The sequence below is a fragment of the Homo sapiens genome, chromosome 14 (genome assembly GCF_000001405.40).
Source record: "Homo sapiens chromosome 14, GRCh38.p14 Primary Assembly".
NCBI lineage: Eukaryota > Metazoa > Chordata > Mammalia > Primates > Hominidae > Homo > Homo sapiens.
The window spans coordinates 77,759,711-77,781,131 of record NC_000014.9 but is presented as its reverse complement, the minus strand read 5'-3'; the positions used below and the strand labels follow the sequence as shown (position 1 = coordinate 77,781,131).

The 21,421-nt window shown below is 43.1% G+C and overlaps 1 protein-coding gene and 1 long non-coding RNA gene across 5 annotated transcripts in view, besides 4 other annotated features; one reads left to right on the top strand and one right to left on the bottom strand.

Annotated features, from left to right (window-relative positions):
- Positions 1–11,389: 11,389 nt before the first annotated feature.
- Positions 11,390–20,364, bottom strand: SLIRP-OT1 (SLIRP overlapping transcript 1). 2 transcript variants are annotated; one of them, NR_161323.1, is made up of 3 exons: positions 20,016–20,364; positions 12,667–12,680; positions 11,390–11,734 (listed from the first exon to the last, which is right to left on the bottom strand). It is a non-coding gene; the product is annotated as an SLIRP overlapping transcript 1 (long non-coding RNA). The 2 variants fall into 2 exon arrangements; NR_161324.1 differs by lacking the exon at positions 12,667–12,680.
- Positions 18,463–19,237: an enhancer, noted in NCBI's record as "H3K27ac-H3K4me1 hESC enhancer chr14:78228238-78229012 (GRCh37/hg19 assembly coordinates)". NCBI's record gives its function as "activates a minimal SCP1, AML or CMV promoter by ChIP-STARR-seq in naive H9 embryonic stem cells {active_cell/tissue: H9 hESC(naive)}" and the evidence as "EXISTENCE:reporter gene assay evidence [ECO:0000049][PMID:30033119]".
- Positions 19,785–20,104: an enhancer, noted in NCBI's record as "active region_8811". NCBI's record gives its function as "activates an Ori minimal core promoter by ATAC-STARR-seq in GM12878 lymphoblastoid cells {active_cell/tissue: GM12878}" and the evidence as "EXISTENCE:reporter gene assay evidence [ECO:0000049][PMID:35858748]".
- Positions 19,785–20,786: a biological region, named in NCBI's record as "H3K27ac hESC enhancer GRCh37_chr14:78226689-78227463".
- The window catches only part of SNW1 (SNW domain containing 1), a 43,558-nt gene continuing 42,112 nt past the window's right edge, over positions 19,976–21,421 (top strand). For all 3 annotated transcript variants that reach the window (NM_012245.3, NM_001318844.2, XM_047431112.1), the window contains exon 1: positions 19,976–20,018. In NM_012245.3, coding sequence (NP_036377.1) covers positions 20,005–20,018 — 14 coding nt within the window. In that variant the 5' untranslated portion in view covers positions 19,976–20,004. The remainder of the gene's footprint in view (positions 20,019–21,421) is intronic.
- Positions 20,012–20,786: an enhancer, noted in NCBI's record as "H3K27ac hESC enhancer chr14:78226689-78227463 (GRCh37/hg19 assembly coordinates)". NCBI's record gives its function as "activates a minimal SCP1, AML or CMV promoter by ChIP-STARR-seq in naive H9 embryonic stem cells {active_cell/tissue: H9 hESC(naive)}" and the evidence as "EXISTENCE:reporter gene assay evidence [ECO:0000049][PMID:30033119]".

Sequence of the window (21,421 nt, the reverse complement as noted above, 5' to 3'; positions counted from 1 at the left end):
ACAAAAAACTCTGAGTCTGATCAAGCCTCTAGGTCTAATGAAGAATTTACAGGAAACAGACAGATGAGGGACATGTTAAACAACATCATGAGCTACAATTAACAAAACCAAGGCTATGGCAAACTAACAGGCAAATGACCCAATTTCTTCAACAAAATATTACATGAGAAAAAAGAGATGGAGGGGGAGCCTATAAGTAAAAGAGATAAAATATATAAAACACATAAAAACACAGTCAGGGCAATGTGAATATTATTTGGATATTTGATGATATTAAAGAATTAACTATTTTAAATTTAGATGTGATCATGGTACTGTGGTTGTGGTTTTTAAAAAAAGGAGCCCTTGGCCAGGTGCAGTGGCTCATGCCTGTAATCCTAACACGTTGGGAGGTCAAGGCAGGAGGACTGCTTGAGCTCAGGAGTTTGAGACCAGCGTGGGCAACATAGCAAGATCCTATCTCAACAAAAAATTAAAAATTAGCCAGACGTGGTGGCACAAGCCTGTAGTCCCAGCTACTTGTGAGGCCAAGGCAGGAGGATTACTTGAGCCCAGGAGTTCAAGGCTGCAGTGAGCTATGATCACACCACTATACTCCACCCTAAGCAAGAGTGAAACCCTGTCTCAAAAAAATATAAAAATAAAAAGGAGCCCTTATTGGTTAGAGAAACATGCCAAAATATTTACAAATGAAATATGATGTTTGATATTTGCTTTAAAATAATGTGAGTGAGGGAGAAGGAATATGACAGGCAAGATTGGCTTTGTGTTGACAATAATTAAAGCTGGGGCAAGTTCATCTCATTTTTCTCTTTTCTCTAGCTTTGAAAATGTTTGAATTTTCTTTCTTTTTTTTTTTTTTTTTTTTGAGAGGGTCTTGCTCTCTTGCTCAGGCTGGAGTGCAGTGGTGCAATCATAGCTCACTGCAGCCTTGACCTCCCAGGCTCAAGTGATCCTCCCACCTCAGCCTCCCAAGTAGCTGGAACTACAAGCATGGGCCACCACATTCATCTAATAACTTTTTTTATTTTTTGTTTTCTTTGTCTTTTTTAAATTTCTTTTCCTTTTTTTGTGGACAATCTTGCTCTGTTGCTCAGGCTGGTCTTGTACTCCTAGGCTCAAGCAATCCTCCCACCTTGGCCTCTGATATGGTTAGGCTTTGTGTCCCCAACCAAATCTCACCTTGAATTGTAATCCCCATAATCCCCATAATCTCCAGGTGTCAAGGGAGAGACCAGGTGGAAGTATTTGAATCATGGGGCTCAACAAACAAACAAAGAAAAAACTAGCCAGGCATGGTGGAGTGCACCTGTAGTTCCAGCTACCTAGGAGGCTGAGGTAGGATGTGGGAGGATCGCTTGAGCCCAAGAGGTCAAAGCTGCAGTTAGCTGAGATCAGACCACTGCACTCCAGCCTGGGTGACAGAGCAAGACCATGTCTATTTAAAAAAAAAAAAAAAAAACTTCCAGAAGAGTAAGGTTTTGGGAAAAGAGGAATTCTACCTCACTAATGGTAGGAACAGAAGTGGATGTAGCCTTTCTGGAGAGCAGTTTGGTAGTACTAAACACTTGTAAATGTTTATATTCCTTTAATAAGTAATTCTACTTTTAAAAAAATCAGTGTTGTCTGAAAAAAAGATTTTCAAGAATGTGTATGGCAACAAATTTTTAGTGAAAATAGAGCACTGATTAAGTAAATGTTAGAAACTAAAATACCATTGCAAACATTAATAATAATATTTTAGAATTTTTAATGACTAGAAAAAATACTATCTTAAGAAAGCAGGCCAGGTGCAGTGGCTCACACCTGTAATCCCAGCACTTTGGGAGGCCAAAGTGGGCAGATCACTTGAGGTCAGGAGTTCGAGACCAGCCTGGCCAACATGGCGAAAACTTGTCTGCACCAATAATACAAAAATTAGCCAGGTGTGGTGGTAGGCGCCTATAATCCCAGCTACTTGGAAGGCTGAGGCAGGAGAATCGCTTGAACCTGGGAGGTGGAGGCTGCAGTAAGCTGAGATTGAGACACTGCACTCCAGCTTGAGTGACAGATAGACTCCATATCAAAAAAAAAAAAGAAAGCAGATTACAAAACAATATTCACAGCTGGATTTCTATTGCATATATTATTTAAAAGGCTCAAAGGATATACTATAAAATGATAATAGTGATTATCTCTGCAGAGTAGGATTATGGATAATTTAAATTTTCTTCTTGTACTTTTCTGAAAATTCCAAATGTCAATCGAAAACTTGTAGAACATTTTATCTATGAAAAAATGCAGGCTGCGTGTGGTGGCTCATGCCTGTAATCCCAGCACTTTAGGAGGCTGTATTACTCCAATTTCATGCTGCTATCAACAACTGCCTGAGTTGTTGTTATAAATTACTGGGTAATTTATAAAGGAAAGAGGTTTCATTGACTCACAGTTCAGCATGGCTGGGGTGGCCTCAGAAAACTTATAATCATGGCAGAAGGCAAAGGGGAAGCCAGACACCTTCTTCATAAGGTGGCAGGAAGGAGAAGTGCCAAGTGAAGGGGGAAGAACCCCTTATAAAACCATCAGATCTTGTGAGAACTCACTCACTATCATGAGAACAGCATGGGAGAAACGTTGTTTATAGAGATGGGGTCTCACTATGTTGACCAGGCTAGTTTTGAACTCCTGGGCTCAAACAAACCTCCTGCCTCAGCCTCCCAAAGTGCTAGGATTAAAGACATGACCCACAACGCCTGTCCTGGAAGTTTTTGTTTTTGTCTTTGTTATTGTTTTTTTGAAACAGCTCCCGGGCTGGAGTGCAGTAGCACTATCTCAGCTCATTGCAACCACTGCCTCCTGGGTTCAAGTCATTCTAGTGTCTCAGCCTCCCAAGTAGCTGGGATTACAGGCAGGTGCCACCACACCTGGCTAATTTTTTATTTTTAGTACACAGAGGGTTTCACCATGTTCGCCAGGCTGGTCTCAAACTTCCAACCTCAGGTGATCCACCTGCCTTGGCCTCCCAAGGTGTTGAGATTATAGGCATAAGTCACCACACCTGGCCTCCTGGAAGTTTTACATTTGCTCTATTTAATAATAAGTTAAGGCCGGGCGCGGTGGCTCACGCCTGTAATCCCAGCACTTTGGGAGGCCGAGGAGGGTGGATCATGAGGTCAGGAGATGGAGACCATCTCCTGGCTAACAGGGTGAAACCCTGTCCTTACTAAAAATACAAAAAATTAGCCGGGCATGGTGGCAGATGCCTGTAGTCCCAGCTACTCAGGAGGCTGAGGCAGGAGAATGGCGTTAACCCAGGAGGCGGAGCTTGCAGTGAGCCAAGATCGTGCCACTGCACTCCAACCTGGGCAACAGAGCGAGACTCCGTCTCAAAAAAAAAAAAATAATAATAATAATTAGTTAAAAGACCAATTGATAAGTGTGCTGGAGCCAGTCAAGGCTACCTTTGAATTCCATTAACTGTGTGATACTGAGAGAGTTACTTAAGATCTCTGGACCTGTTTCCTCCTCTCTAAAAAGAGTAACACTGGGAGATCATGGCCGTTGAATAAGATCACTAGTATAATGATATATTATCTGTAAATACCTTAGCATAGGGACTGGCTTTGTAATTGTTATCTATAACTATCAACATCACCATTATTATATTATTATATCATTGTTGGCCCCCATAGAATAAAATTAATAGTTTTGTGACAGTTATTTTCCTTTTCACGAAGAGGTCTTTTTACTTGCTTCTGCAGCCAAGCCAGTATTTAAGATAGCTTATGGATAAGTTAGGATGCTTTCAGTGGTTTGCAAATAACAGAAACCCCAAGTTAAACCGATATAACTGCAGCACTTAGGAGGTAAGAAGGACCCAGACATTGTCTGACTCTGTTCTTAGTGATTCTCTTGGCTCTGCCCTTCTGAGTGTTGTTTTCTTTTTTTTTTTTGAGATGGAATTTCACTCTTGTCGCCCAGGCTGGAGTGCAATGGCACAATCTCGGCTCACTGCAAACTCTGCCTCCTGGGTTCACACTATTCTCCTGCCTCAGTCTCCCGAGTAGCTGGAATTACAGGCGCCCACCACCACTTGCAGCTAATTTTTTGTATTTTTAGTAGAGATGGGGTTTCACTATGTTGGCCAGGCTGGTCTCGAACTCCTGACCTCGTGATCTGCCCACCTCGGCCTCCCAAAGTGCTGGGATTACAGGCGTGAGCCACTGCTCCCAGCCTGTGTGTGTGTGTGTGTGTGTGTGTGTGTGTGTGTGTGTGTGTGTGTATGTGGTGTATGATGGAGTTTCACTCTTGACACCCAGCCTGGAGTGCAATGGCCCGATCTCGGTTCACTGCAACCTCCGCCTCCCAGGTTCAAGCAATTCTCCTTCCTCAGCCTCCCAAGTAGCTGGGATTACAGGTGTTAGCCACTATGCCCAGCTAATTTTTGTATTTTTAGTAGAGACGGGGTTTCACCATGTTTGTCAGGCTGGTCTGGAACTCCTGACCTCAGGTGATCCACCTGCTTCAGCCTCCCAAAGTGCTGGGATTACAGGCATGAGCCCCTGCACCCGGCTGTGAGTGTTGTTTTCAACCCTATACTAATGTGCCTAGAATGAGGCAGCTGTTGACAGAACCTAAATCTACATGCTTTTCGTTCATGTCCAGGTGAAAAAAGAAAGAGTCCTGGTCACTACCATTCAGTTAGATCTTGAGATTTCTACTGACTGGGAAAATGGTTTTGTTCCATTTTAGGGTTTTGTTTGTTTCTTTGTTTGTTTTTGGTGGAACTTAATTAGCAGATTCTAAAAAGGATCAAGACAAAACACTATTGAATAAGGAGAACAAGGTGGGAGGACTTCCTGTAAAAGGAACAAAATAAAGAGCCCTCAAACATATCAATACATGACATTTGCTACATAACACTTGCTACATGACAGAGATGGCCTGCAGATGAGTGAGGAAAGAACAGGCTTTTTAATAAATGGTGCTGATAAAATTGAGCATCTATGTAGAAAAAATTGAAATTGCCCTCAGTCCTATATCAGATCGTGCACAATATTCAATTCCAGGTGGAAATGACCTAAGTGTAAAAGGAAAAACTATAAAGCTTTTACAAGATAAGACCTCAGGACAGGGAAGAATTTCTTGAACAAGACAAAAAGAGCACTAACTACAATGAAAAAGATTCATAAATTTGCTTACTTCTGAATTAAATTTTTTTGTTCATCAAAAGATACCACTGGGGCCAGGCATGGTGGCTCACACCTGTAATCCCAGCAATTTGGGAGGCCAAGGCGGGTGGATTGTTTAAGGTCTGGAGTTCGAGACCAGCCTGGCCAACATGGTGAAACCCCGTCTCTACTAAAAATACAAAAAATTTGCCCGGCGTGTTGGCAGGCACCTAGAATCCCAGCTACTTGAGAGGCTGAGGCAGGAGAATCGCTTGAACATGGAAGGCAGAGGTTGCAGTGAACTGAGATAGCACCATTGCACTCCAGCCTGGGCAACAAAAGCAAAACTCCATCTCAAAACAAAAACAAAAACAAAAGATACCACTGGCAGAGTAGAAGTCAAGCAGAATAGTGGAAGGTATTGAAATAGATAAAGAATTACTCAGTACCCAAACCATGTGAAGAATTCTCACAACGCAACAAGAAAAAGACGTATAACTCAGTAGTAAATGGACAAGAGGCTTGAACAGGAATGTCACAAGAAGGAAATCAAAGGTGCTCCTCCTCATCAGTAACCAGAAAAATGCAAATTAAAATTGATGCTGTCATTACATACCAGGGTAAAATTTTAAAAGATGAGCCTATCAAGTATTGGAGAGGTTCTTACTGGAGGTGGGAATGTAAATTGAATCATCCACTTTGGAAAACGGTTTGGCATATCTGTAAATATGGAGGTAAACATACCCTGTGCCTCAGCAATCCACTCCTAAGTGTATACCCTAGAGAAAATGATGCACAAATATTCAAAGCAGCATTACGCATTTGTAACCTCAAACTGGAAACAGCTCAATGTTCATCAACAGCAGAACAGATAAAGCCTTGGACAAGTTAACCATTATCAACTCTAATAAAAATAAGTAAATAATGATAATATTAATAGCTAACACTTATATAGGGCACTTACTATGTGCTAAATACTATCCTAGGGGTGTAATATATGACTATTAATATGTATAACATATATTAATATATAAATAATTATTACAAATACTAATACAGGATTTATTATGTGCTAGGTACTGTTCTAAACATAGTTCATATCTGTGGTCATTTTAGATTTACACTTACCCTATGAGGAAAGGACTGTTATTATCCTCATTTTTCAACTGAGGAAATTGAGGTCCAGAAGTTAACTAGCCAGGCATGGTGGCTCACGCCTGTAATCCCAGCACTTTGGGAGGCAGAGGCAGGGGGGATCACCTGAGGTCAGGAGTTCAAGACCAGCCCGCCCAACCTGGTGAAACCCCATCTCTACTAAAAATACAAAAATGAGCCAGGTGCAGTGGCGGGTGCCTGTAATCCCAGCTTACTCTGGAGGCTGAGGCAGGAGAATCGCTTGAACCCAGGAGGCAGAGGTTGCAGTGAGCTGAGTCGCACCACTGCACTCCAGCCTGGGTGACAGAACAAGACTCTATCTCGGGAAAAAAAAGAAGCAGTTAACTAGGCCATGAGGCCAGGCGCAATGGTTCACACTTGTAATCCCAGAACTTTGGGAATCCAAAGTGGGAGAATTGCTTGAGCCCAGGAGTTCAAGACCAGCCTGGGCAACATAGTGAGACTCCATCTCTATCAAAGAAAAAAAACCCTAGTGATATGGTTTGGCTGTGTCCTCACCCAAATCTCATCTTGAATTGTAGCTCCCATAATTCCCACATGTCATGGGAGGGACCCCGTGGGAGGTAATTGAATCATGGGGGCAGTTCTTTCCTCTGCTGTTCTCATGATAGTAAATAAGTTTCACAAGCTCTGATGGTTTTATAAACGGGAATTCCCCTGGACACACTCTTGCCTGCCACCATGTAAGACGTGACTTTGTGCCTCATTCACCTTCCACCATGATTGTGAGGTCTCACCAGCCATGTGGAACTGTGAGTCCATTAAACCTCTTTCCTTTATAAATGACCCAGTCTCGGATATGTCTTTATTAGCAGCATGAGAACAGACTAATACACCTAGCTGGGCATGGTGGTACGTGCCTGTGGTCCCAGTTATCTAGGAGGCTGAGGTGGGAGGATCACTTGAGCCCAAGAAATCGAGGCTGCAGTGAGTCATGATGGTGTCACTGCACTTTAGCCTGGGTTACACAGTGAGACCCTGTCTCTGAAAAAAAAAAAAAAGAAAAAAAAATTTTTTTGGCCAGGCACTGTGGCTCATTCCTGTAATCCCAGCACTTTTGGAGACTGAGGCAGGCAGATCACTTGAGGACAGGAGTTCGAGACCAGCCTGGCCAACATGATGAAACCCCATCTCTGCTAAAAACACAAAAATTAGCCGGGCATTGTGGTGCATGCCTGTAATCCCAGCTATTCAGGAGGCTAAGGCATGAGAATCACTTGAACCCAGGAGGCAGAGGTTGCAGTGAGCCAAGATCACACCACTGTGCTCCAGCCTGGCAATAGAGTGAGACTCTGTCTCAAATACTACTAATAATAATTTTATAAATTAATTAACAGACTATTAAACATTTTAAAGAAATTAAGTAAAGAGAGGCTCATGAATTTTTGTTGTTGTTTAGATGGAGTCTCGCTCTGTTGCTTAGGCTGGAGTGCAGTGGTGCGATCTCGACTCACTGCAGCCTCCACCTCCCAGGTTCAAGCAATTCTCCCAACTCAGCCTCCCACGTGGCTGGGATTACAGGTGCAACACCATGCCTGGCTGAATATTTTTTTAAAATAGAGGAGAAAGAGGGAAAAGTCCATTGTGGTTCCTGGTTATCTTAGGGGTAGTCTGAGGAAACCTGGAACAGATATATTTTTAAAAAACAGATTTTTTTTTTTTTTTGAGACAGAGTTTTGCTCTTGTTGCCCAGGCTGGAATGCAATGGCACGATCTCAGCTCACCACAACCTCTGCCTCCTGGGTTCAAGCAATTCCCTTGCCTCAGCCTCCCGAGTAGCTGGGATTACAGGTGTGTGCCACCATGCCTGGCTAATTTTGTATTTTTAGTAGAGACGGGGTTTCTCCATGTTGATCAGGCTGGTCTCAAACTCCTGACCTCAAGTGATCCGCCTGCCTCGGCCTCCCAAAGTGCTGGGATTACAGGTGTGAGCCACCACGCCACCACGCCTGGCCAAAACACAGATGTATTAAGATATAATTCACATACCGTAAAATTCACCCTTTCAATGTGTACAATTCAGTGGTTTTCATGATTATTCACAGAGTTGTACAACCATCACCATTATATAATTTTAGAACTTTTTACCTTTCAATACTCCAAAAAGAAACTCCCATCCACTCGCTGTTTGTTCCCTTTCTCAGTCCCTGCTTCCTGCCCCACCTCACCGGCCCTATCCCCAGGCAACTGCTAATCTGCATTCCGATGGATATGCCTATTGTGAACAATTCAAATAAATGGAATTATATAATATCTGGTCTTTGTGACTGGCTTCTTTCACTTAGCATTATGTTTTCAAGGTTCGTGTAAGTTGTATCCCGTATCAGTACTTCATTTCTTCTTATTGCTGAGTAATATTTCAATGTGTGGATATACCACCTTTTGTTTATCCATTCATCAGTGTGTGGCGCATTTGAGCTGCTTCCACATTTCAGCTATTATAATGCTGCTATGAATATTTGCGTATAAGTTTTTGTGTGAACATGTGTTTTCATTTCTCTTGATCATATTAAGAGTAGAGGCTGGGAGCAGTGGCTCACACCTATAATCCCCCTCAGTACTTTGGGAGATAGAGGCTGAAAGATTGCTTGAGTCCAGGAGTTTGAGACCAGCCTGGAAAACATAGGGAGATCCTGTCTTTACCAAAAATTAAAAAAAAAAAATAGCCAGGCATGGTGGCATGGGCCTGTAGTCCCAGCTACTCAGAAGGCTGAGGTGGGAGGATGACTTCAGCACAGGAGGTTGAGGCAGCAATGAGCTGTGATTGCACCACTGCACTCCAGCCTGGGTGACAGAGTTAGACCCTGTCTCAAAAAAAAAAAAAAAAAAAAAAAAAAAAAGGAATGGAATTGCTGGGTCATATGGTGTACTAAGGTATGAGGTTTAATTGACTCACAGTTCTGCAGGTTTAACAGAGGCATGACTGGGAGGCTTCAGGAAATTTACAATCATGGCAGAAGGCAAAGGGGAAGCAAAGCACCTTCTTCACATGGTGGCAGAAGAAAGAGCAAAGGGGGAAGTGCCACACACTTTTAAACCATCAGATCTCACTCACTATCATAGGACATCAGAACTCACTATCATAGAACAGCAAGGGGGAAATCTGCCCCCGTCATCCAATCACCTCCCATCAGGTCCCTCCCCCAACATTGGGAATTACAATTCAACATGAGATTTGGGTGGGGACACACAGCCAAACCATATCATATGGTAACTCTCCGTTTAAAGTTTTGAAGAACTGCCAAACTGTTTTCCAAAGTGGCTGCACCATTTTACATTCCCACCTGCAATGTACAAGCATTCCAGTTTCTCTGCATCCTCACTAACTCTTATTATGTCTATTTGGTTATAGCTATCCTAGTGGGTAAGAAGCGGTATTGTGGTTTGGAGCAGAGTTCATGACTGTAGATTGGATTTAACCTTGAACTCCACAAGTAAAGTCCCTTTCATCCTCAACCTTCACCCAGCCTCTGCCAAATCTCTCAGATCGCTGGTGGGAATGGGCTTCTGTTTGTGAGCAAGGATAGGCTTAAGTCAGTCCCACCTGTCAGACCCAGGCCTGCTCTATCCTTTGTGAGATATCCTCAAAAAAAATTGGGGTGGGGGTCTTAGAATCTACCCACTATGAAGGAAATTATTTTTCCTATGAACTCAGTCTGGCCCTGCCCATTTAGATAGGTTTCTATCCTCCTGTTGGAAGGAGCTAGACTCATTCTCCCTCAACTTTTCTAGATTCCCTCCAGAGAAACACTCTCACCTATGGAGGCTTCTCTTTATTGCCCTGGGAGGAATTTTTAGTTGGTCTTTGTTAGAAACAGGCATTTAAGTGTGGTTTTTTTTGTACACAGGCTGTAAATTCCACCTGCCACACTGACTCTGACTTCTATTTTAAAACTAACATATTCTCAGCTCTTCATCTGAAGGAATAGCCCTATGTTATTGTTGGTACATAACTGGGTGATGGGTGTAAAATGTCCTACTTTAGGAGCCTGTGTTGATGGCATTTTGAAGGGTGGTCCCCAAGGTACATGTATGTCTGGTGAGCCAAGAAGAGTCTAGAGATGTGAGTGCCACTAATATATGGAGGCTTGGCCATTGACTGGGTTCAGTTATCCTTCCTCTGCCAGTGATGAGATCGCCAGAGACACCACCCCCCTTGAGAAGGTGTCTGGGTAGGAAGTTCAAAGGCAGGTGAACAGATCAAAATCTCCCAACTTATTTTATATTATATTTTATTTTTTTGAGATAGAGTCTCACTCTGTCGCCCAGGCTGGAGTACAGTGGTACGATCTCAGCTCGCTGCAACCTCCACCTCCTGGATTCAAGCGATTCTCCTGCCTCAGCCTCCCATGTAGCTGGGATTACAGGTGCCGCCACCATGCCTGGCTAAGTTTTGTATTTTTAGTAGAGATGGGGCTTCACCATGTTGCCCACGCTGGTCTCGAACTCCTGACCTCAAGTGATCCACTGGCCTCGGCCTCCCAAAGTGCTAGGATTAGAGGTGTGAGCGACCATGCCCGGCCAAAATCTCCCAACTTTTAAATGTCTGGAACTAATTCAAAAGTTTTAAAGCATGTGAAGGACAAACAGAATATGTATGGGGGCCAGATTCAACCCACAAGTCCCAGATGTACCAGCCCATTGGTTTTGTATTTTTGTTTTTGTTTTTTGAGATGGAGAGTTTCGCTCTTGTTGCCCAGGCTGGAGTGCAATGGCGTGATCTCAGCTCACTGCAACCTCTGCCTCCCGGGTTCAAGCAATTCTCCTGCCTCAGCCTCCCGAGTAGCTGGGATTACAGGCACCCGCCACCATGCCCAGCTAATTTTTTGTATTTTTAGTAGAGATGGGGTTTCATATGTTAGCCAGGCTGGTCTCGAACTCCTGATCTCATGATCTGCCCACCTCAGCCTCCCAAAGTGCTGGGATTACAGGTGTGAAGCACTGTGCCCGTCCCAGCCCATTAGTTTTTAGGGCAAGACTATACAGACTTTAACTTTGAATTCCCCCAAATTAGTACAGGGTTTAGTACAGAGAAAGGACTTGATACATTTTTATACACTTTTGAAGAATAAATTGATATTTATTTAGTACTCAGTGTCAGCCAAGCACTTAAACACTTTACATTCATTACCCCATGGCATCCTCACAGCCTTCTGAGGTAGAAAGACTCACTGAAGGTTCAGTAAAGTGGGGAGGAAGGCACGACTTGAACTCAGGTCTGTCTGACTCCAGATGTCTTAGAAAGGTAGAATCTTTCACTTGGAAGACAGTATGGTTAAGATCATGTTCTCCGGGCCGGGCACAGTGGCTCACACCTGTAATCCCAGCACTTTGGGAGGCTGAGGCAGGAGGATTGCTTGAGCCCAGCAGTTCAAGACCAGCCTGGGCAAAATAGTGGGACCCCATCTCTGCAAAAAATAAGAAAATTAGCTGGGCGTGGTGGGCCTCGCCTGTAGTCCCAGCTACCTGAGAGGCTGAGGCAGGAGGATAGACTGAGCCCAGGAAGTCAAGGCTGCAATGAGCCGTGATTGCACCCCTGCACCCCAGCCTGGGCGATAGAGTGAGACCCTGTCTCAAAAAAAAAAAAAGAAAGATCATGTTCTCTGGGTTTAAGTTCCAGATTAGTCACTTTCTATTTGTCATCTTGGGCAGCTTACATATCTAAGCCTCCATTTTCTTATCTGTAAAGTGTGGATAAAAAGAGTTAACTACTCACAGGGCTGTTACAAGGAATAAGTGGGATAAATTGGCATAGAGAAGCTAATCAATAAATAATAACCATTATTATTATCCCAGTGTTTATCTCCTTAGGGTTATTAAATCACAGCCTTAGCCTACAAACAGGCATATTCTGGTGGAATATCTTGTTACTGGAGAAGAGAGGGAAGAAATGTAGGCAGTCACTTCAGCTATCAGATGGCTGCCTTCTGGGCCAACAGCACATTTGATAGGAATGAAAATGATCAAAACAAATGACAGGGCTCAGGGCAAGGGGCAAACTGTTCCCCTGCCAGGCTGTTTGATAGAAAAAGGAATGGTTTTCTTAGTTCTAAAGCTTCAACCACACTGGATCCTTGTGTTTTCACAACCCTTAAGGTTAGAGCCAACTTTCAAAAAGAATAATTAAATCGGGAAAGAAGTGGGGTCAGCAGGTTTCGTAGTGCTTTTAAACAGGAAGTCTCAGAACTCATGGAGGGAAGTAGCTGACAGCAAAACTGCTTTCCTACTCATCAACCCAAAGAACTGCTTAATTCCAGAAGAAGATAGAGGAGCACATCTCACCAAAGACAAGTTGACCCTAACTCTTAAATCATCTACAGCCAAAAAACTGATTCTGTACCTGGTTGATCATGCCTGTAAAAAATAAAAAATAAAAATTAAAAAAATTGATTCTGCCTATAAAATGACTGACATGTTTCAGAACATTTTTGACTTACTTAATAAAAATTACTGTTCTATTTAGTAATCATATAAAAACAGAGATTGCATTCATGATTTTAAAAATGAAATACCAAAATTAATATCCTGAAAGATGTGTACAATCTATATAAAGACAACTTCAAAATGTTATTGAAAGATATGAAGGAAGATTTTAATAAGTTAAAATCTAAACAGTGTTCCTGGCCAAAAGCAGTGGCTCACGCCTGTAATCCCAACAGTTTGGGAGCCCAAGGCAGGCAGATCACTTGAGTTCAGGGGTTCGAGACCAGCCTGGCCAACATGGCGAAACCCCGTCTCTACTAAAAATACAAAAATTAGCCAGGTGTGATGGTGCATGCCCGTAATCTCAGCTACTCAGGAGGCTGAGGCAGGAGAATCTCTTGAACCCAGGAGGCAGAGGTTGTAGGGAGCCAAGATCGTCCACTGCACTCCAGCCCAGGCAACAGAGCAAGACTCCAACTCAAAAACCAAAACCAAAACCAGTGTTCTTGAGTGAGAAGACATAAAATTGTAAAGATATTGGCTCTCTCAAAATTAATTTATGGACAATTCAACGCCAATCAAAATGCCTACAGATATTTTTCAATAGAATGCACAAAATAATTCTAAATTTCATTTGGAAAAAAATGAAGAGATACTATATTATACTTTTTATTCACTTATTCATTTTATTACTTTTGCATTTTACTTAACTTTGCTTCTACAGCTTTATTGAAATGTAGTTCACGCACCATAAAATCACCTTATTAAAGTATGCAGATTAGAGGCGTTTAGTATATTCAAAGTTGAACAACCGTCACCACTAATTTTTCAACCCTCCCCCAAAAGAAACTCATACCCATTAACAATTATTGACCTTTCCTAACACCCCCACAGGATTTGTTTATTCTGAACATTTTATATAAAGGTAATAATACAATATCTGGTCTTTTGTGACAGGCTTCTTTCATTTAGCATAATGTTTTCAAGGCTTCTGTAGTAACAAATTTAACCTTGTCCAAAGAGAGATCTGGCTTTTGTCCTTAGCTTCTTGGAAGTAATCTCTAAACTCCTGAAATGTCATGCCTAATAGGAATGTCTTTGTTTGCCTGAAGGTCTTGGGACTTTTCACTTTCTTTCTTTTTTTTTTTTTTTTTTTTTAGACGGAGTCTCGCTCTGTTGCCCAGGCTGGAGTGCAGTGGCACAATCTTGGCTCACTACAAGTTCTGCCTCCTGGGTTCACGCCACTCTCCTGCCTCAGCCTTCTGAGTAGCTGGGACTACAGGTGCCCGCCACTACACCCGGCTAATTTTTGTATTTTTAGTAGAGATGGGGTTTCACCATGTTAGCCAGGATCGTCTCGATCTCCTGACCTCGTGATCCGCCTGCCTCGGCCTCCCAAAGTGCTGGGATTACAGGCGTGAGCCACCATGCCCGGCCCTTCACTTTCTTGATGATGTCCTTTGAAGCACAAAACCTTAACTTTTGATTTAGTCCAATTTTTCTATTTTTTCCTTTGTTGTTTATGCTTTTTGTATCTTATCTAAGAATTCTTTGCCAAATCCAAGATCATGAAGATTGACCCCTGTGTTTTCTTCTAAGAGTTTTATAGTTTTAGTTTTCACATTTAGGTCTTTGAGTTATTTTGAGTTAATTTTTGTATAGGGCGTGAAGCAAGGGTCCAACTGCATTCTTTTGCATTTAGACATACAGTTTCCCAGCACCATTTGTTGAAAAAACTATGTCAATAATAGTTTTAGATGGTCTTGGTACCCTTGTCAAAAATCAGTTCACCATAAACATATGGGTTTATTTCAGGACTCTCAATTTTATTCCATTGATCTATGAATCTATCCTTATGCCAGTACCACACTGTCTTGATTACTGCAGCTTTGTAGTAGGTTTCTGAAATTGGGAAATGTGAGTTCTACAACTTTCCTCTTCTTAAATTTTTATTATAAAAATTTTCAGGGCTGGGTGCAGTGGCTTACATCACTTTGGGATGCCAGGCAGGAGGATCACTTCAGTCCGGGAGTTCAAGACCAGCCTGGGCAACATAGTGAGACCCTGTCTCTACAAAAAATAAATTAGCCAGGCCTGGTGGCACATGCCTGTAGTCCTAGCTACTTGGGAGGCTGAGGTAGGAGTATCGCTTGAGCCTGGGAGATTCGGGCTGTAGTGAGCCGTGATCATACCACTGAACTCCAGCTTGAGCAACAGAGTGAGACCCTGTCTCAAAAAAAAAAAAGAGATAATTTTCATATATATATAAAAGTTGAAACAATAGTTCAATAAACACCTATACAGTCCACACTCCCCCATCTAAGCTTAAATAATTGTTAACATTTTGCTTTCCCTTTCATGCTCTCTCACACTCTCTCACTATAAACACACACACACACACATTTTTTGTTGTTGAGATAAACTATTTGAAAGTAAATTGAGGCTGGGCATAGTGGCTCAGGCCTATAATCCCAGCACTTTGGGAGGCCAGGTGGATGGAGCACCTGAGGTCAGGAGTTCGAGACCAGCCTGGCCAACATGGTAAAACCTCGTCTGTACTAAAAACGCAAAAATTAGCTGGGCATGGTGGCAGGCGCCCATAATCCCAGCTACTTGGGAGACTGAGGCAGGAGAATCACTTGAACCCGGGAGGCAGAGATTGCAGTAAGCCAAGACTGCGTCACTGTACTCCAGCCTGGGTGACAAGAGCAAAATTGTGTCTCAAAACAAAAAACAAACAAAAAAGAAGAAAGTAAGTTGACACATTTCATCCCCAAATCCTCTGGCATGCATCTCCCAAGAATAAGAACGTTCTTCTACTTAACCACAATGTCATTAATACTCCTAAGAAATTTAGCAAAAATTCTACAATGTTGTCTATTATCACTCCATATGCAACTTTCTCCAAATGTCCCAAGAATATTTTTTATAGTTTTCCCCAACTGAACCAGAATCCCATCAAGGTTTACTAATTTTATGTGTCATGTCTCATCAATCTGTTTTCATCTATTCTATTCACATCCATTCCATGACATTGACATTTTGTAGAGTCTCAGTCAGTTGTCTTGTAGAATGTCTCACATTCTGGATTTTACTGATTGTTTCCTCATGCTTTTAAACTTGTTACTCTATCCCCTGAATTTCTTGTGAACTGGACATTAGGTCTGGTTTGATCAGAAAATTGGTGAACTTCCGGCCAGGTGCAGTGGCTCATACCCGTAATCCCAGCACTTTGGGATGCCAAGGTGGGTGGATCACTTGAGGCCAGGAGTTCAAGACTAGCCTGGCCAACATGGTGAAACCCCATCTCTACTAAAAATGCAAAAATTAGCCAGGCGTGCTTGCTCATGCCTGTAATCCCAGCTACTCGGGAGGCTGAGGCAGGAGAATCGCTTGAACTAGGGAGGCAGAGGTTGCAGTAAGCCGAAATCGCACCACTGCACTCCACCCTGGGCAACGGAGGAAGACTCGGTCTAAAAAAAAAAGAAAGAAAGAAAGAAAGAAAGAAAGAAAGAAAGAAAACTGGGGAACTTCCTATTAAAAGCACCTAGTGTCAGATTGTTCCACTGTTAGTGAAGCAAAAGTGATGACAGCCAAATCTCTCCATCGTAAAGATACGTTATTTCTTTCGCAGTTCCTAAGTAATCATTGGCTCTAGCCTTTTTAACTATGCTTTAATGCAAACCAATATTTTAATTAAAAAAAAATTTTAAACATTGAGAGGGCACGTAAAACACATCCAAAAAGTAAGAACGGTGTGGTGGAGCAGCTCTACTTTTTATCAGAGAATGATTATAATAATATAGCCATAATAACTAAAGCATAATGGCATCAGAGCATAAAATACTGGCATTGAAGTAAATTTAAAAAAACATCCTATAGTAGAAAATGTTAGTGGGAAGGTACCCCAGAAATAAAATTGAGTTCAACTGCCTCACTTTGCAGATGCAAAACCTGAACCTTAATAAATTAAGGCCAATTCATTAAAGCCAGAAAGCATAATTAATTTTTGAGCGCTTACTCTATGCTGGGCATTTTTCTAAGCACTTCACATGATTAACTCATTTAATCCTCCCAATAGCTTTATTGAGGATAAGTTATACTGATTCCACGCCCCTCACCCTTTTTATTGGCCAGTGAGAAAACTGAGACAGAGAGAAGTGACTTATCCAGAATCTACAGCTCATAAATTAGGGAGCTGGGATCAGAAGGCAGGAAAGCTGACTCCAGAATATGTGCTTAACTTGTCCTCCCTACCACCTCACAAGCTATATTACTTGTGGCTACATAGCCACACCTACTTAGGAATCAAATTAGGCCCTAGGTTCTCTGAGAACAATTCTACTCTCTATCCAGAATTCTAAGACTGGAGTGAATTGATTGCTTCTTGCAACCTGGCGCATTACTGATTCCAGCATGCACTGGGCTCTCTACATGAGCAGGCAGCTGCTAATTACCTATGATAATGAGGGATGGATAGGCACTGAAGATTCAGCATAGCTTAACACCAAACCCCCTCCCCAACAAAACCAAAGAAAGCACTAGGCCTTTGGGTATAATATTGTATCACGTTTGCAGTAGATTTGCTTTCTTAATTGTTTTGATAGGATTGCTATTAAAGTCAGTTTCTATTCTTTACACACCCCCAAAACAGCGAGGGACTATGACTGGTGGAAATGCCTTGCATGATGTGCCTCTGTGGAAAATGAGAGTGGATTGCAAAAGCTCTTCTCCACCCTGTTCTTTCAATCCTGCATCCCAGGTCTTGGTCTATGTCTTACTGATTTCCCATGTTAATTATTTTAACCTTGTCCTCAGTAGCCTCCTTTGTCTCTCATTGCCATAGAAACCCATTCTGCCTTAAGAATTGTCTTTCTTGCCTGTTCCTTTGACCCAGGCCCTCTACTTAAGTCCTCCTTCAGCTGCAAATCACCTGCTGAACTAAATCTAAGCTCCTTGATCTTGGCTTCCAGGACGTTCTATAATTTGCTTCTCTGTTTTTCTCCTTTTAGAAATAATACATTCCTGGAGCAGAGGTTGAAGTAGATCACTGTCAACCAAAATATTAACTGTAATAACTAACATATTTACATAGTACTTAAGAGTTAAGTAAAAACATATCCACCTACATTACCTCATTTAAGGCTCATACTCTGCTGTATTGTATATAATTATTTTACATTTATATAAATATAGGTAAAGCAGATAACATGATCAGCATTTTAAGTTCAATAAAACTGGGGCCCAAATAAATTAAATGACTTGCCCTATAAGAATTTATTGGTGCTGAAGCTACATCTTTTTTTTTTTTTTTTTTTTTTCTGAGACAGTTTCACTCTTGTTGCTCAGGCTAGAGTGCAACGACGCACGATCTCGGCTCACCACAACTTCCGCCTCCCGAGTTCAAGCGATTCTCCTGCCTCGGCCTCCCGAGTAGCTGGGATTACAGGCAAGCACCACCACGCCCGGCTAATTTTGTATTTTCAGTAGAGACGCAGTTTCTCCATGTTGGTCAGGCTGGTCTCAAACTCCCGACCTCAGGTGATCTGCCCGCCTCAGCCTCCCAAAGTGCTGGGATTAAAGGCACAAGCCACCACACCCAGCCAAAGCTACATCTTAAACTCTAATCTTCGGGCTCCCAGGCCATGCAGGTTATATTACACAATGTGATTAACAATCCTGTATTTACCAAAAGATTTTTTCTTTTTGTTTTTTTGGTTTACATGCTGTGGCAGGCAGAATTCTAGGATATCCCCCAAGATCTCCTCCTCACCCAACCCCCACAGTACCTGACCTACATAACCCCTGGGGCCATGACTATGAAGATTCTGATTCTGTTATGCGGTGTGGCAGAGTTGATTTTTTTTTTTTTTTTGAGACAGAATTTTACTTTGTCACCCACGCTGGAGTGCAATGGTGCAATCTCGGCTCACTGCAACCTCCACCTCCTGGGTTCAAGCGATTCTTGTACCTCAGCCTCCCAAGTAGCTGAGAAAACAAGAGCACATCACCACACCCAGCTATTCTTTTATATTATTTATTTATTTATTTATTTATTTATTTTTATTTTTTGAGACGCAGTCTCACTCTGTCGCCAGGCTGGAGTGCAGTGGCGTGATCTTGGCTCACTGCAACCTCCGTCTCCTGATTCACACGATTCTCCTGCCTCAGCCTCCCCAGTAGCTAGGACTACAGGAGCGCGCCACAACGCCCAGCTAATTTTTGTATTTTTAGTAGAGACAGGGTTTCACCATGTTGCCCAGGCTTTGTCGAACTCCTGAGCTCAGGCAATCCGCCCGCCCCGACCTCCCAAAGTGCTAGGATTACAAGTGTGAGCTACTGCGCCCGGCCAAGAGTTGATCTTAAAATAGGGAGATTATCCAGGTGCTCCTGATCTAATCACATGAGCCCTTTAAAAGCAGGGCATTTTTCTCCAACAGTGGCAGAAGAGGAGTCAGAAAGATGTGCCTCAGAAAGCAAATATCCATGTTGTGAACTACCAATAAATAGGGCTCATGTGGGAAGGACTCGAGAGTGACCCCTAGGAGCTGAGGGTGGCCACCACTAACAGCACAAAACAAAACAGGGAACTCGATCCCACAACCGCCAGGAACTGATTTTTGCCAACAAGAATGAGTTAGGAGATGGATTTTTCTCCAGAGCCTCCTATGAGATTTCAGCCTTGTCATACCCTGGGCAGAGAACCCAGACACTCGGTAAATTACCAAGGATTACGAAATATCTCCCCAAGAGAGTGTTTTGGCGGGTGAGAGGATATGGTTTAAAGAAAAGTTTTGAGTGTGAATGTTTTCAGAGAGTCCAAGGACTCTCCATTAGCTAGTCTCATTATTACCTGTCGTTTTAAACGCCCTATCACTCTTACTTAAAGTAGCTGTCCCCGGGAAGCTTTTGTATTTTGTACCCCTTCTCGGGGAACGGGACTGAGTAAGGAACGTAATAAAGCGGCCTAAAAGGCATCTCCCTGTATCTTTGATATTTTGCCTAGGGAACGCCCTATCATGTCGCATATAAGCGATCGAGTTATGCATTTGTTGCTAGCTGAAGAGATTATTCCTTGATAACCGCTTGGTCTGGTCAGAATACAAACGGTACTCCTGTTCAAAGAACTACAAATCCCAGAAGGCCTTTTCGGCCAGAGCGCCTGCGCATCGCGCACTCCTTCCTTTCCGCTCCTCATCATCTGGAAAGACCCGCCCAGCGGTGCTGTCGCTCGCGCTGGAAGAAGCGGAAGAAGATGGCGCTCACCAGGTGGGTTGTTGATTGGGGTCCTCGATACGGAAGGGTCTGGGAGTACCAGTCTTCTTCATTTCTCTTCCCATACCCTCCGGGCGGTGACCTGACCCGGGGCACAGAATGACGTGGGCCAAGACTACGGCTACGCCCTCCCGCTGGCCGCCGCTACGACTAGGCCTAGTCGAAGCTGGGGTCTTTCAGCGGTTTCCCGGGTTTAGTTCACCCGCTCACCGAGGCCGAAAGCTGCGGAGTGGTCTCAGACACTGAAGAGTGGGTTTTTCGCGTGAGCATCTTGCGGGGAGCGGACAGCGCTCCCTCAGGTCCGCGGCTCGGGCGAACGAGATGGGGTTGGTGACGGTAGTGGCTTATTTGGGCGGAGTGAAGCGCGCGGGCTGCGACTGCGCGGCTTTCCGGCCGTTTGCCTGTGGTGGTCTCTCTCCTTTCGCTGTCCACTGGGTGTCCCGAAACAAGGATTCCTGAAAAAAGAGGCCCGGAGCTGAACACAGATTTAAATGAGCCACAGTAGTGACCGCCGTCTGCTGATATGCGCCACTGCTCCGCATTTTAACTTTGGAGCTTAGAATTTCTTCCGTAGATAGAACCACCTCAGTTTTGCTGTTTCCGGTTACCTTAGTAACCGTCTGTAAAGTGCTCTCCGCCTTTAAGAAAAAGATGCTTTTCAGTGGGAGAGTCCGAGAAGTTACGCTACTCCTACTAGTTCCCAGCCTTGCTGCCCCATTTTAAGTGGAAAAACTTTCCATGCGAACTCAACAGGAAAAGGCTAGTGTTCAGGAAGGTTATAGATAAAGTAATCCTTTCAGGACATCAGCTTGAGCTCTTTTAACACCCTTCATTCTCCTCACGCATGTTTTTTTTTCTGGCTGATGACAGTATGACTCCAAAAGTTTTAATCAAAAAATTATTTTGGGAATTACTGTTGGTGCCTTGCTCTGTCCTGGGGGTTGTGTACACAGAAGAAAATCTGTCTTTGGCAACAGGGAAGATAGGGGTGCAAGGTATACAGACATAAAACAATTACAGAACACAAAATGTGCATTTGTGTAATACTAACCTTAGTGCAAAAAGAATTGAATGGAATAAGTTATGTGGGCTGGAGAGTTTTCTCCCCACCCTCGTTTCTAAAATTTTTTTGCTTTTTTTTTTAACTTTATTTTTTGAGATGCGGTCTCGCTGTGTTGGCCAGGTTGGTCTTGAATTCTTGGCCTCAAGCAGTCCTCCTGTCTCGGCCTCCGAAAGTGCTAGGATTACAGGCATGAGCCACCATGCCCGGCATCTGAAATTTTTTTAAAAAAAAACTAGAAATAGGGTGTTACTGCGTTGGCCAGAGTGGTCTCCAACTCTTGGCCTCCATCAATCTTCTCACCTAGGCCTCCCAAAGTGCTGGGATTGCAGGCATG